This window comes from Homo sapiens, chromosome 10, assembly GCF_000001405.40.
Source record: "Homo sapiens chromosome 10, GRCh38.p14 Primary Assembly".
Taxonomy (NCBI): domain Eukaryota; kingdom Metazoa; phylum Chordata; class Mammalia; order Primates; family Hominidae; genus Homo; species Homo sapiens.
The window spans coordinates 128,681,167-128,697,466 of NC_000010.11; the positions used below are offsets into that span (position 1 = coordinate 128,681,167).

A 16,300-nucleotide genomic window follows, 5' to 3' on the forward strand; every position below is an offset into this window, starting at 1 on the left:
GGGGGTGGTCCTTCTGTGCACTCTGTCCCCTCTTCAGAGTGAGCATCCGATGGTCTCCAAGGCTCTAAGGTACCACACGTTGTCGTGGTCTCGATTAAACTCTGTGGGGGGCCACGATTCACCGAGTTTTCTTCCAATGAAGCCTTGGATCCAAAATGGATAAACATGAAAAGTGAATGAGTGTTGATTTCATCTTCTTACATTTAATCCGCTATAGGGAGACGTTATTGTGCAAAAGGACTTCTGGGTTGAAACGAGTTTACTCACATCAGAGAAGCCAGATCCATTTTGCATGGCAAAGAGCCAGAGCATCTTATAGTTGCTTCCTGGGAAAACCTCTTCCCATACTATTATTAGACCTTCCCATACTATTATTAGATATTATTCAGATGGGACTATGGTCAGCAAAAAATATGCTCATCCCCCAAAATACACAAACGCTGTAACAACCTTGTGCTTCATTAGCAAGCCAAGAGGGGCCATGCAGTGTGAATTTACCGGGAAAAAACTAGGGCGCACCCAGCAGTAGGTGCTCGGGACATGCCCAGGAAATGTTAGCTATAGAGACACCTCTCAGCTCAGTGCTGTGCTCCTTCCTCATAAAACTCAGAGACACCTGTGCTCTTAACACACATACGGGTTGGAAGGCTGTTGGGGATCCACATATTGCATGAGTATATGACAGGAACTCCTGTGTTGTTGGCCAGTGAGTTACCTAAAACTTTAAAAAACATCGATTTGATTGTATGCCTCTCATTCATCGACATATTATTGGTAGAATCAGAAGCCAGAGAATATTAAATAGGCCTTACAGTTTTTGCACATCCGGAACTGGGACATGGCACATTTTGTAAGATATAATTCGTGAAAGTATTTGAGTGTTTTACTTTACTAAGAATGTACTCATTAGGCTCAAAGGAGACGTTAAAACCAATCTCAGTGGAGCCGTGGGCAAGCCCAGTTGTTTGGTTCAGATCTGAACAGTATCCACAGCCCTCTCTGAGCCCTTCTTGCCCAGGTCGATGGCAGAACAGCAGTCTGGGTCATGGCACTGGGTAATTTGCCCCATGATCTTAAATAAGTCACTTTCTTCATGCCTTATTTTTTGTAGTTTTAAAAGGGGTTTAGCATAAGCCTTATCTATTGCCTTAGGATGCCATCTATGAACAAAATAATAGACACGAACCTAGAGTCTTTTGAGAACAACAGGAAATTAGATGCTTAGCTTTCTTAAGATGTCTGGGACATATGGTGCATTTATGCTTTTAGTATCCAAAAGCCATCAGTCCACAGGTGGATAAACCAATATCCTTTGTTTACCTGGAGCTCTAGATGACATTTACAGATGAGCAATGTGTTACAATCATTGGTGGTGTAGAACTGGACTAAGATGTGGGGAATACAATACCCAGTTTTTAATTTAAACTTAGCCATCTATGTGTTTTGTGAGGTAAGGAACTATTTCAGCCTCCCTGAGTCTTAGTCTTCCCATCTGTCAAATGGGAGAAGCATCACCATCTTCCCCTCTGGCAGCCTGGGAGGGAGGTGGAAATGCAGCTTCTCAGAGTGCCAGACAAGTATGGGCTGCCAGGACTGTCAGATCAGATACCCTGAAGTCTCTGCAGACAGCCAGGCACCTGCCAAGGAGCCTCTGACCAGAGTCCCCGGGGGGAACCATCATCTCCTAACCTGCCACGATGCAGCCAGCACAAGGGCTGAGGGTGGGACTTCATCTGATCAGGCATGATGTCCACCTGTGGCTGGCATTGTGCACTTGACCCCAATGCCCACTGGCTGATGCTGTGCAGGCAACGAAGAATGATGATGCAAATTTAAGCCCCCAACCCCTCCTGGAGCAAGCCTGGTAATTCATGCAGCACAGGATCAGCTTGTAGCAAGAGAAATAGTCTGGGAAACTGTGACTCTACTTTGACCACAAGATTGATCTTCAAAGCAAAGAGAAAAATCAGCTGGTGGCCGAGCAGAGCACTCTAACAGGACAGGAAGTTAGAACTTAGCCTTTGAACGGTCTCTCTGGGACACTTTGCCTAATTCTTAGGCCTAAAACTGACAAAATGCTGAGGCGCTTAAAAATGCTGCCCTTTAGAACATTCTCAGTTTTCCAAGAGTATCAGCAGCAGAATCCCTTGCATCTGGGCAAGCTTTATAGTTTACAGAGTACTTCTATAAACATCACCACATTTAACTTTCACAAGAATCTTCAAACTCCATATTTAATATGCTAGCATGGGCATATTGGGTCTTGGTGTATTTAAATTTAGAGTAGAGCTGAGTAAATTTAAAATGTGAGAGAAGTCATTAATCTGCTTATTAAATACAGTTATATATTCAGAAACATACCTTTTACTTAATTTTAATCTTTTTGATGTCACTATCCACAGTGCATACATATGCGTATGTACACGCGTGCACATACACAAACACACACATCTCATCAAGAAACATTTCACAGAACTCTACTTGCCTCTAAGATAAGTTCTCTAATATTCATATTTTATTCAATTAATTTCATTTTGTATAAAGTGCTGGTTGCAGTTCTCTAAATTGACTTCAGGGAACACAAGCAGGGCAGAATCAGCAGCTCGAGACTCTCGGTCTCTATGGCTTTAGCCATTCTCACAGGTACATAGTGATATCTCATTGTGGTTTTAATTCGATTCTCCCTAGTGGCTAATGATGTTGAACATCTGGCTGTTTCTTTTTAACTTTATCAAATAATTTATCTTGTTTATAAATTGAGATAACCTCCATTTGCCTCCCTCATCCCCCTTCTCAAGAATTATTATTCCTTGTAGAATCTTCTGGCTATGGAAAGGAAAGAGCAGAACATTCCTGTCCTCTCCCTCCCGGGTGTAGAAACAAGTCCCTCTCTGAGGCAGGCTTCCAGGTGAGCCCGGTCAGGGAGGAACAAGGAGGCTACCAAGGCAACTTAGCAGATGCGCCAGTGTCGATGGCTGAGACTCGAGTGGGCAAAGGGAGCTGAGGCTGAATGTGAAGCAAATCCAAGTTATGAAAACTCCAGCTGTGGCATCATCATCGTGTTCGGCACAATCTTGGGAGCTGAACCCTCTCTGTTTCTCTTTCTGTATCTTCACTTCTCTGCATCTCTCCCTCCCTCTCTCTTTCAGTCTCTTTCTGTGTCCCTGTCTCACCCTTTCTTTCTATTCTTGGTAACTGGCAAACATTTACAACCCAACTAAAACGCCACCAGGATAAACCTTGTGTTTGCTCTTTGGACGATATTCAATAAATTATAGTAAGCTGCAAATGTCACTGGATTGGGAACTGTAAGTGCTTTGCCTGTAAGTCTTTAAGCAAAGACCTGCAGCTGAAGCAGTGGTAAGGGGAGCCCCAAGGATAAGCTGCTTTTAATGTGGGGCAAAGCGGTTTTCATGCAGGTATCTCTGCATTAACCTTGCAGGAGACTGCACAGTGAATGGGGCTGGACTTCGCTGCTTGTCTCTTCAGTGGGTCCATCTCCTGCCTTCTCTAAAAGTAGATTAGTTCAAACTTATTATCAACAAAAACCTGCCAGAAGATTGCAATTGTGTAACTATGATGCTCATCACTGGAGACCAAACTTGGGCCATTAAATCCACTGCATTTGTGATTTCGGTGACCTGAACTGCCAATGGAGGTTCTTTGATGTAAAATGTGAGGACAAGAATCAATTGTACCCACCAGCTCCCTTTAAACTATATCATAAAAATGCAATGGAGCTGTTCCAAGCAAAGGCTGACACTAGTCTCTGCTTGCACAATTCTCTCAGCACCGTCCTCCCAGCTGGGATATCTCAGTGTCCCTGTCTTCCAAGACCAGGTGGTGGAAACGGGAAATTGCGTTGCATTGATTATTTTCAGCGAAAGAGTTTGCAATTTCCATCTAGCATGGGAAACATTTTTTTCATGCTCTTTAAGGAAAAGACAAGATTTATGACAGATCAGAATTATTATTATTATTATTATTATCATCATCATTATTTTGAGACAGGGTCTCGCTCTCTTGTCCAGGCTGGAGTGCAGTGGCGTGATCTCAGCTCACTGCAACCTCCGCCTCCCTGGTTCAAGTGATTCTCCTGCCTCAGCCTCCTGAGTAGCTAGGACTACATGCACATGCCACCACACCCAGCTAATTTTTTTTATTTGTAGTAGAGAGGAGGGCTCACCATATTGGCTGGGCTGGTCTCGAACTCCTGACCTCAGGCGATCTGCCCACCTCGGCCTCCCAAAGTACTGGGATTACAGGCGTGAGCCATCCTGCCAGCCCAGATCAGGATTCTGGAACATCACCAGGTAGTATTCTTTGTGGGCACACCTGCATCAGCACAGAGTCCCTGGAAGGCCAGCCCTGGAATGTGTTTCACTGATGAGCAGTGTCTTTTTTTGCAGGCCAACAACTCTGGCGAAGTCCTGCCTTTAGCCTTTACCTTCATAATTTAGCTAAGCTTTTTTGGTTGTTATTCACCATTTTCCCTGCTGTAAGGCCCTTCTTATGGCTTTATGTATCTTCCCTGTTATCTAATTTGTAAACAAATATAGAACTAGAGCTGATTGGCAGAGGGCAAATGCAGTTACAATTACAGCTGTCCCCCCTCATCCTCAGGGTTGTGCTCCAAGACCTCCAGCGGATGTCTGAAACCTTGGATAGGACTGAACCCTGTATATACTACGTTTTTATTTCTGTATATACATGACTATGATGAGGTTTAATTCATAAATTAGGTACTGTGAGATGAACAACAATAACTAATAATAAAACAAAACAGTCGTAACAATATACTGTAATAAAAGTTATGAGAATATGGTTCCTCTGTCTCTCAAAATGTCTTATTGTGCTGTACTCACTTATTCTTGAACCGAGGGTGACCGCAGGTAACCTAAACAGCATAAAGTGAGACCATGGAGAAGTGGCGATGGGGGATGCTGTGATGAAATGATAGCAAAGGGCCAAACACTGCATTGTTTTGTTTTGCTTTTTCTTTCTGTGCTGTGGGCACCCCGGCATCCACTTGTTCTGAGTACGTCCAGAAGCTCCTTCCTAGCTCCCCTTGATTGTCCAAAAGCCACACACAGTGCGTGACGGGGCAGGGGAAGCAACTGCATCCGGGCCTGGGCTCAGGGCTGGAGCCGAGGGTGTGTGGGCAGAGAACTCGGAAATCAGCCCCCGAATTCCAGTTGTGCTTTCCCTCTTGAATTACCTGGCTTTCCACCAAGCAGAACTGGAAGCTAGGTTTTACTGGTGTCATCAAGGATCCTGGCTCTTCCTTCAGCGTGGGGGAATGGGGCATGACTCCGTCTTCCCCGCATTGGGAGAGTGTGGTTCTCTCCCAGGCAGAACTGGGAATTTTTCTGCCCTTTGAGGTCCAGCCGTCAGGCCACCCAGGTGCCATGGGGCAAGGATTTGATGAACTTCTTACTGCAAAAGTGGAAGCTGCGGTGATAACTCAGGCATTGCTTCAATGTAGATGTTAACATAGGCAAACAGAAGTGAAAAAATAAAACCCTGCTTGAATAAATGTCCAAGCCTGGCAGAGCAAAAGGTGCAGAGAGGGAGAGTGAGTGATTATTCTCCAGGCAGCCCAGGGACTGAAGACAGGCAGACCCTGCCCCGCGAGGGAGGCGACAGTTTGCTGTCATTCCAGAAGCAAGGGGCGGGGACACTGTCGCCTGGCTGATGCCAGGGTGATGAGGACACTTCATCAAGGTGACGTTGCCTCAAGATGTGCCTCCGGTTAGGGTGCAGGAGGCAGACTTGGAGGACAGTTCTGAGGGTGGGCGTGGGCATCAGTGCCTGTGGAAGGAAGGGCAGGGAGAAGGCAGGACTGGATGGAGGGAGAGGTTAAGCTGCCATGCTCCACTTCCTCATGTGTCCCAGAGCTGGAACCGCCCTCAAGATCTGTTCCTAGTGGAGCCAGGACAGCCAAACCTTTCTGCACTCTTGGGTCAGCCAGGGGTGAGGGCTGCCAGGAAAGAGTGGCCATTGGGTGAGGCTGGTGTCTGCAGCTGGAAAGGTCTCTGCAGGGGGCTCACCCAACAGAGGAGGAGTAATTTAGGCTGGCTCCCCCGTCCTCGGTCAGTCTTGTTGTGATGTTATTATTCTATACCAGGTTCTAGTTCTGAGATGGGGATCCTGATGACACAAGGGGGCTTTGTGCGGCCCTGTGAGCCCCAGTCAACCTGAGAGCCCCTGCCCCGGGGAGGGGTCCCAGCAGAAGAACAGGGCCTGCCTGTGGACAAGCTTGGGTAGGTCTGAATGTGGTCCTCAGAGGGAGGCCTTTGGTTTCCTAGGCAAATACCCAAGTCTTCACAAAAGAAAGATGCCGTTTGAGAACAGAGACAGAAACTGTCCTTAAACTTTCTGTCTCCCTGCAATAAAATTCCAGCCAGCAAGTGTGTGTTTACATTCCAGTTCTTCTCCTTCTGACTACGTAGCCTTGGACTAGCCCTTCCCTTCTCTGAGTCTCAGCTGTCTCAGCTGTAAATAAAATGTTCATATCCTCCTTGGTGGGTTGTTTTAGGCTTAAATGCACTCGCAGTAAATGTGACAGGGTTTTGTATATTGAAAGCACATACATTAGATGGTATTGTCATTACTCTAAGCTTCAGGAATTGGAGACCCAGCTTCCGCTAGGAGAACTGTCTCCTGGAACTGTGATTCTGCCTTCATCTTGGTTCATGAAGCTTTTGCCAATGGACTTCCTAGGGAGGGGAGAATGTCAGGGCTTCTTCTAGTGATGACAGATGGTATAAAAATGATTTGTCACCAAATACTAAGTATAAATGCAGACACAGGGCTCACCTGCTCTCACCTGCAAGTGGTAGCAGAAGGAAGGCCGCCTAAAAAGTCAGAGATAAGGAGTGTGGTTTGCATCAGGCCTCAGCATAACACCCACGCAGAGAAGGCCAGTCCTAAATTTGCAAAAGCTCAGACTGGGAATTTCATTGATTTTAATTTATTGCTGGTGGCAGGTTGCTGGCTACATTTCACAGTGGATAGCTTTCAAATGGGTGGGAAAAGAAATCCTTCTCAGCCAACAGACGTCCTATTGAAAATACTTCCCATCTGGGTGGGGAAGTCGGAGGGCACAGTGGAAAGGTCACTGACAACATCAGTCACTCCGCACATCCCGGGTGCCGAGCAGGAGTCAACACATAAGAGAGGACTGGGGGGCCGGGCGCGGTGGCTTACGCCTGTCATCTCAACACTCTGGGAGGCTGAGGTGGGCGGATCACGAGGTCAGAAGATGGAGACCAGCCTGGCCAACATGGTGAGAACCTGTCTACTAAACACACAAAAAATTAGCCAGGCGTGGTGGTGTGTGCCTGTAATCCTAGCTACTCAGGAGACTGAGGCAGGAGAATTACTTGAACCTGGGAAGCGGAGGTTGCAGTGAGCCGAGATTGGGCCATTGTCCTCCAGCCTGGGCGACAGTATGAGACTCCGTCTCAAAAAAAAAAAAAAAGAGAGGACTAGGGATTTCTGGGACAGAGCCCCGCTGATGTGGTGAGGGAGACTCCAGTAGGGGTACTCTGGGTGGAAATGCGTGATGTGCGTTTATTTATTTAACAAACATTTATCAAGCGCCCTGTTAAGTCCTGGGATGGTAGCAGTGAACAAGATCCAAAAGTTCTCTCCACCAGAGGAGCATGTGTGCTCCTGCATTATTACCTGTGTGATGTCATGAGTCGGTGACGATAGTTTTGGGGAGTTCTGCTACAAACATTGTCCTCAGTTTACCAGGGTCCTTCACCTTGTCTGGATCCACAGTTTGAGAAGCAGTTTCGCTGAACCCAGTAGGTGGAGATTGCAGTGAGCCGAGATCGCAACCCTGGACGGCAGCCTGGGCGACAAAGCAAGACTCTGTCTCAAAAAAAAAAAAAAAAAAAAAAAAAAAAAAAAAATTACATTGTTTTTCATTTTCATTAAAATTGTTTTGAGTCACAACCAAAATTATAAGCAGCAGAAAAATAGAAGTAATCATAACTTCCTAGACAAAACAAAAAAATTATATGCTGTGAAGGTAAGACCACCACTAAGGGGGCTGTTCTGAGGCTCAAATGTGATAAGGCAGGTGAAAAAAGAGAAGATGCTTTCTAGGCACTGAGTCAACATGTCTCATGTTTATTATGACTTTATGGGAACTTTCACAGAAAGGTGCTTAAGAAAAATAAATCAGCAAGCCAATCTAATGAGAATCTAAAAGAGTCCATATCCTTACATGTTTTTTGAGCAGTCGGGGCTAAAACACATGCGCTGAGTTACAGGATAAAAAGACAAATCTGCCGATTAACGATTTTCAGATTGAGACAGAACTCTCCTGTGCTTACCTGGCTCTCTGCTATGAGGCTTGATGGGGGTACTGGAGGGTGGAGGGTGGGGTGAGAAGTAACCCACCCTGCCCTCAGGGGGTTCACAGTTTTGCGGGACAGGCTTCTATGAGACTATCTTGAGGCTGCTGAACTGACCAGCCCAGTGCAGCCTCTCCCGCCCACATCTCCGCATGGGATGGCTCAGCCATCTCTGCATGATGCTAATTTTTAAATTTGCTCAATAAGTAACAGTGAGAGACATTATTCTAGGTACGTGGTGCCTACTGGAGTCTTCCACTTTGTTTTTGATTCCAGGTCTCAGTTCATCCATCAATGAAAAGAGGCTTAGTGAGAGTGACAGTGAGACTTCATGCGGCTGGAGGGAGATGGACTATGACAATGTGGGTAAAAGGCTTGCTCTCCGCAGTACAGCTTCTATAACCAGTGACTATCAATGTTATAAACAGGCCATTTTGAGATACAACTTTTCATCAATATCATCTTCAGCCAACAAATCAAAACAAAACAAACTCCCAGAGGTTTTCTGTAATCAGTGGCAGTGCTGCTGGTGGCAGTGGTTTCCAGCAGTGAGAATGGTTGCCAAACGGCCCTGTCTCCTGCCCTTTCCCCATCATTTCTAGACATTTCTAATGTCTACGTTTCTTTTTTCTGCTTTGGGGCTTAAAAAATGTATGTCCCTGTTGGTCCTGACCACACATGCCAACTGACTGATGACTTTAATTATTAATGAATTGTTTGTGCACACTGATTATGCCCCAACTTGTTTATTTTTAAACTCTGAAGTTGTTGTAGTTAAAAAATCAGGGAAAGTAAATATTTGGAAATAAAATACAGAGGTATAAGTATTTATGAGGTTATATCTCAGAAAGACATGAAGGGGAAAAGAGAAATAAGTTTAAAAATAGTTAAGAACTAAGCATACTGATTTCAAAACACCTAAGACAAGTTTGTCTCTAATTTTTGAACTATGCAATTAATGTTTTTCGATTCTCCACCTTGAACTATTTATAAACACACCTATATTCATATATCAGTGCAGGTAGGCAGTGAGTGTATATTTTGTACAGTTTCTAATTTAGTGAAATGAATTGCTTAAAGAGTAAACAGGATGGTCACGTATAAATCAAAGTACCAAATCTGCATTTGAGAATAAAAGAAAGTTTCTGCATCACCATTTGCCTTCAACATTTTGTTGAGTGACATTTGCTTCAATTCAGGATACCTTGTTGACAGCAAAGCCAGAAGCTGATTATTCCACAGGCTTCTTAAGACCAATAAATTCTGCTAATTCCAGCCATTATTCAGCCGTCCCTGTAGTGCTGAGCTTAGAAATGTGGTTCCCTGTCTCTTGAGCACCGCCCATTGCCCAGATGGTCACCTTCCAGGGCAAGACACACATGACCTGCATCTGGTGACCCTGGCCCTGTCTTTGGGGGAGAGACCCTGCTGGCCATGGGGTGCTGCAGAGGGTTGGAGGCTCACAGGCCACACATGGCTCGTGGGCGGGTCCTTGGCATTTATTGCCTCTGTCGTATCTGTGCCTTCTCTACCCTCATTAGCAGCAATGCCCCTGAGCTCAGAAAGAGAGAAAAGCCAGCCTGGCTCTCAGAGGTCAGACTTCACCAGAGCATCCTCCCTGTAGCTTTATAATTAAACAGAGAGAGAGAGAGAGAGAGAGAGAGAGAGAGAGAAATAGAAGCCGGTAACTCAGCATCCTGTGTCAGTTACTGACCTGTGCCTCCTCCCACACTCTGATGGAAAGATCTGTGGCCCTTGATCCTAAGAATGCCAGCCCCCGGCAGCCCATCTCCAGTCCACTCAGGATCTGTGTGAGCGACAGCCACCGCTCTTAGGAACAGGCTGGCAGATCTGGGCAGGGTGTGGGGACAGGAAGCTGCCAGCCTTCTTTGCAATTCAGATGGTAATGTTCTCCTGGGCTTGTTTACCATCTGCTGGGCACACAGACATTTCTCTATTTGGTCATTAATTAATGTCCTAACTACAAAGCCACAGCAAACGTGCAAAACTGGTATTTCTGAGGCACTTGTTTACAAAGTGTATACAACTGCATTCCGCTCAGAATGTTAAGACTTTTGCTACTCAAGAATTGCCCATCCTGCAGTTCGTTTGAATCCTTTAAAACAAATTTTTAGGTCACAAACTCATTCCATGTAATAGCTCAGAGGTTAGTTAAATAAGTGACATCTGAATTTTATTTTATTTTTAACGTTTTCCCTAAAAAAGGAACGTTAAATCCAAACAGCACAAAGATACCCTTATTCCTTTAACAATCTTGTGATTGTATTTGAAGCTTAGGGCATAAAGGGACATGCGCTGAGATTTTCTCAGTTCACCCTCCCTTCTTCTTGACTGTAACACCTGCCTTTTCAAGTCCAAGACAGAATCCCAGTCTTGGTCTTGTCCCCTGAAAACTTGGTTGATCAGGGTCTTGAGCTTGGACCAGTAGGGTCCTGTTTAAATTCACCATGCGACCGTGGATGCATCTCAAAGTGTCTACATTTCAGCTTCCTTAACTTTGAAATGTGATTTTGGATGAGTGACCTGCCACTACAGTCCTTTTCCAGAGGAGGAAAGGTTACCAGAGGGGTGTTGAGGACTCATGGCGCTGTGGCTTCTGCAGACGCAGTCACCTGCAAAACGACTTGGACATTTTGGCGGGATTAACTTGGGAACCAAGGAGGAGAATAATCAGTCCCCATCATGTGATAACAGAAGGAGCCTGTGACTTCCTAGCCCCCTTGGGTGAAATCCCAGAAAATCATCCATAGGGATCTTTTGGATAAGAGCAGAGGTGCTGGGCATTGTTTATTCATTAAATCTGCCTTAAAACAACTGAGCCCTCCTGTAGGATATGTCCACCAGCCCAAAGAGCTGACCACTTCCAAGAGTGGTTGCTATGAGTCTAGAGGTAACATCTCCCCATTTCCATTTCTTTGACTGGGAAAAGTTGGACAACGGGCTAAGTTTTCTGGATATGGAATCAATGTAACTTCACTTTCTACAGAAGAACAGTCATCCTTATCCTAATCAAATCAGAAAGGACAGCCCAGCCAGGATTTGGAGTAAGTAAATGGGAGAAGGATTAAAAAGTGACTTTGAAGGTCCCTGCAGCCCTGGACTCCATGAGCTGATGTCCTGTTGCCTGGAGTGTCGGGGGTCCTCCTGGTCTCCTTGCTTTGTGCTTCCAGAAAGTGCCTCCAAGGAGGGCCTAGACTGCCATTGTCCCTGATGCCACAGTGAGCATGGACAGGGAGGCCCACGCACCCACAAGTGTGTGTCGGCACCATGGTGGAGAGAGGTGAGGCCCAGCAAAGGTTCGGATGCAGCCTATTATGACTGGGACTTCTTCCAATGGGAAGCCTGGCTCCAAAGGTTGCTCCTCAGAGGGCAGTGGAAGGTTGCGAGGCTGAGTTGCCAAGCAGGTGGAGAGGATGCCAGCTCACCTGGCTCCTTCAAAGCCCACTCTGAAATGGCAGTGAGTCTGAGGCCTGGAGGGTTCAAACCCAGGTGGAAATTACCGGATTAGCTATGAGCTTGGGGCAGGGACCAGGCCCAAGGGAGATGGGACCTGATGTTTGTTGGTAGGGTGTCCAAGCCATCAAAATGCCACTTTATTTTACATTGCACGTTCCCATGGCATTTTTTTTTCTCGAGATGGGGTCTCACTTTGTTGCCCAGGCTGGAGTTCAGTGACAGAATCTCGGCTCACTGCAACCTCCTTCTCCCGGGATCAAGTGATTCTTGTGCCTCAGCCTCCCGAGTAGCTGGGACTACAGGCATGTGCCATCACACCTGGTTAATTTTTGTATTTTTAGTAGAGACGGGGTTTCACCATTTTGGCCAGGCTGGTCTCGAACTCCTGACCTCAAGTGATCCACCTGCCTCAGCCTCCCAAAGTGTTGGGATTACAGGCACGAGCCACTGCACCCGACTTCCCTTGGCTTTTAATTACAGCACTAACCACTCTTAGGTCTAATGATCACCTTAAAATAGTGGCCAAATATTGGCCTTGGGAGAACATCCCCGAGGAGGGAATGTTCCCTTCCCCAGCCACTTCCCCTGCCCCGGTCCCTGTCCCTGCTGCAGCTACTGGGACTGAGTCCCACCACGTGGTTCATGGAGGCTGACCCAGGGAAGGACCTGCCCAGCCCCCATGCAGGGCATTCTTGCATTATCTGGGAAATTCTTCTGGCTTCTCCGTACCTGTTGAGACTGCAGAATGGGTGACATTTGCTGAGCTGCCGAACAACAATCCCTCTAAACCATTCTGAGCACGAACACCTGTATTCACCCTTTTGGGAAATTTAGTGCTCTAGGCAGCACTTTCTCCGGGCTGCTACCCTCAACATGTGTGCACCTCCCCGCCAACTGCCTCTGAGCTGGCAGTCAGGCAGCAGCACTAGCTACTCTATTGCCATTGACTCTGTTAATTAAAACTGACACACACGTGCAAACAACAACCACCCCATCCCCAGCAAATTCGAAAAACAAAGCCAAACAAAACACTTCAAACTATTTTCTCCTGGACAGCCTTTGACCTCCTTGTAGGCAAAGCTGGGAGAAATACCTCTCCTTAATGGCTTAAATCGATCAAAACACCTCCTCGATTGATAAACATGCCGGGTTTATATTATGATTACTGCATACAATTTTCTGTCACTGTTAATTTATTTGAAAGTCTTAACCTGGCAGGGTATGACACCAGCAGTATTTTATAATGAGAACTGCGGAAATAAATCATCCCCTCCAAATAGTACAAAGAAAGCACTACCCGATCCTTCAATACAGCAGTGGCAGAATAGAATAGGCTCGTCATGCAAACAGACAGACCGACGCATCAGCCGGGGTGAAATCCCCAGGCTCTGTGCTCTTTAAGTGCCTTACGAATAATTTGGACTCATGTAGGTCTTTCATCTATGATGTCCAAGTGCTTTGAATGGTGGAATGCTAAGCTCTCTCTTCATTTAGAGGGGAAAATATCAAGGCACAGAAAGGTTCCATCTCTGGTCTACAACCTGACTCCAAGCTCAGCACAGACTTGGTATCGCCAGCACCTGAACTTGGAGTCTAACCCCCAGCGGAAACGCTCCCAGCTCATTCTCCTTCACACAGACAGAGGCCGATGCAGGCAAGGGGTCTTGAGGAGGAGGCGCCGGAGAGAGACCTGGAGAAAACCATCAGGATGAGGAGACGCGTGGGTCCCCTCGCTGCCTGCGTCTGCCCCGGCCCCAGCCGGCCATACCAAGGAGGGCACTGGGCCCGGGGCGCACCCAGTCTGCGTGGACGCTGCTCCATTAGGCCGCTGTTCAGTAGTTGCGGGATATCCAGACAATATTGAAACATTCCCAAATGAACTTTGCATAGAGACATTTTCATTCGCTGCCTCCCTCCTCATGCATATTAACAAATGGTATGCGCGGCCTCATTTAATTCACTGATTTTACATTCGGATCACTTTCTCTTTTACAGCTATTTTTACCGGGCTTCATTAATCTTTGTTGAATACAATGGCATACATCTTTAATGCGGCCGCTGTCAAGTCGTATTTCACCAAGAGCTGCAAACTGAATGACAGCAAGCAATATTAATAAATTTAACATAGACTATATCAATTTTTAACAGAATGAATGTGGAAAGCTAAATGTATTATTTTTCGTTTAAATCATAGGGTTTATCACCGGTTAAGTAGCAGCGATTTCGGGGAAACTTGTGACGTGCCATACAAATAGATTTACATCTCATTAATAAGTAAATTAGGCAAATGCCTTTCAAGTTCAGACAAGTACATAAGTGTAATCTCCATATTAAAGGAGTAGTCTTTGATAAACCACTGAGGAATTGTGGCAGCCAAGGATGTGACATGTCACCAGAGCTGGTGCCTGGTCTACAGGCCCACCTTTAATTACTCTCCATTACTAAAGAGAGAAGTGTCTCTCCAGTTAAGATTCTATAAATGAACAGCATGCCGGCACCTCCCAATTCATTTTTGCAGGAGCCATGAAAAGGTGGTAACAGTTATGAACAAAAACGAATTATCACCTGCTCTTTCTCTTTTCCTACTCCGCAATAACATGAAAATATTAAGACAAATTCCCTTTAAAATTTCTAAGAGAAATGATTCTGTAAGGATGCTATTTTGTTTAAGCAAGAAGAGGGGAGGGAGAAGAAGGGGGGGAACTCTGATATATATATATTTAATTTCTCTTCATAAATCCCAACAGAGATAATTTGCTGTAAAATGTAAACCCAGTGAGAACTTGTCTGTCTGTGTTAAATAAAAAAGTTCCGGTTGGCAGGAGGCATGTTTTTGCAGTAGCTTTAGCGATTATAGGAAATTACATGCAAAGCCAGAGTTCTGATCCTAAGTTGATTTATAATTGGAAAAAACTTATTAATTAGCTATGTCGCTCTAATTAAGAATTAGAAGAGTGTGCATTAGGAAGTCAGTAGCCAACTGACAGGAGTTTTTGAAAGCCCAGAAGAGACAGCGGCTCACCCCTCTCGGCCTTGCCCAGCACCCCGGCCTCTTCCCGGAGCCCCATGCACACTGCAGCCCTCCTATGCGGTGTAAGGCTGCCGTGCAGGGCCATCGCCTGCCCAGCCACAGGGAGAAGCAGAGGGGATAGAGCCTGTGGGACCCCCATTGTGCATTGGACGGTTAAGCCCAGGCCAGCCCAGCCACAGGCACGGTGGGGCCACCTTCCCCAGGAATCCAGAAGCTTCTAGAAACACCCCACAGCCCTCCATGCCCTCAGCCTGTCCCCCTGTCTCTACCTGGTTCTGTTTCTGTTTCCAAACCGTCTTGCTTTTTCTCTGCTTTTTTGTTAAAGAAGCATTCTTACTGATTTTTCTCTATCCACAGACACATTCAAACAAAATAATTAAAGGTTTACAAAAGTGAAGCATTTTCTAGAAACACATGTTTAATAAAAAGCAAAATTCCAGAATCTTTGAGTCCAGAGCTTCCTCACATTACCTGTTGTTCTTTCCCTTGGATTTTTGTATCTTCAATGGCAAAACCCAGGACTATGAAATCGCACTTTTATTCTGAATTATTATTAAGCCAGAAAATGAAATGAGGACAAACAACAAGATGAAAACTACTCTCTAAGATAATTGTTCTCTGCAAAAAAAAAAAAAAAAAAAAAAAAAAAGATTAATTTTTTTTAACCCAAACTAAACCGTTCACATTTACAAGGATCATTTTCCATGTACAGGTTTGCTTTCAATTAGAGCAGAACAAAAGCTCAAGTGGGCATTGGAGAGAATTCCGTTTTCTTATTTGAATACCAAAAAAGATGTCCCCCAGATAATGATGCTTAAAAAAAAATCTCCCCATTAGCACATTTCTCCCATTCTCTTCCATTTGCTGGCAAAACACAAAATTCCTGATACACTTATCTTATGAGGTTAATGATCTTTTGTTGTCTGCTCTAAGCCTGTTATTCATTTTAAATTAGAGGCAAAGTGGTGTGTTTAAAAGTAATTCAAATGGGAAGTAGTCGTTCTTTAAAATAAGGGGCTTTAATCCCTGTTCACAATCATTAGCCTGTACTCAGTTAAAAGAACAAGGTTGTATGGGATAAAGAGCAACTCACTAGATAATTTGGGTGTTCCCTTTAATGAAACTCCAGCGGCCAGGCAAGGGAGTCCCTCAGCTTCCCGAGCACCTCCCAGCACCCTGTTAATGATGTGGGTTTTCAAGAGACTTTGGGAAGTTACCAGGGAAGCTGGCGGTCAGAATGCAGTCTGGGACTTGTTTTGTAGGGTTTGCTAGAAGTCCCAGCAAAGATCACCCAGTTTTATGGTGAGCTGAGAATCTACAAGGCAAACCTACTTTATAATTAAGTCTGAGGATTGCTGCAGTCATACTGATACGATTCAAGACTCTAGAACTTATGGCCGTTCTAACTTATACTCATCTGTAG

At 45.4% G+C, this 16,300-nt stretch overlaps 1 long non-coding RNA gene across 2 annotated transcripts; it reads right to left on the reverse strand.

The window, feature by feature from the left end:
- Positions 1–431: 431 nt before the first annotated feature.
- On the reverse strand, positions 432–10,213 carry LOC105378554 (uncharacterized). Of its 2 annotated transcripts, XR_946459.2 has the most exons (3): positions 10,084–10,213; positions 7,690–7,881; positions 432–5,811 (listed from the first exon to the last, which is right to left on the reverse strand). It is a non-coding gene; the product is annotated as an uncharacterized LOC105378554 (long non-coding RNA). The 2 variants fall into 2 exon arrangements; XR_007062389.1 differs by lacking the exon at positions 432–5,811 and having other exon boundaries at positions 6,958–7,881.
- Positions 10,214–16,300: the final 6,087 nt, after the last annotated feature.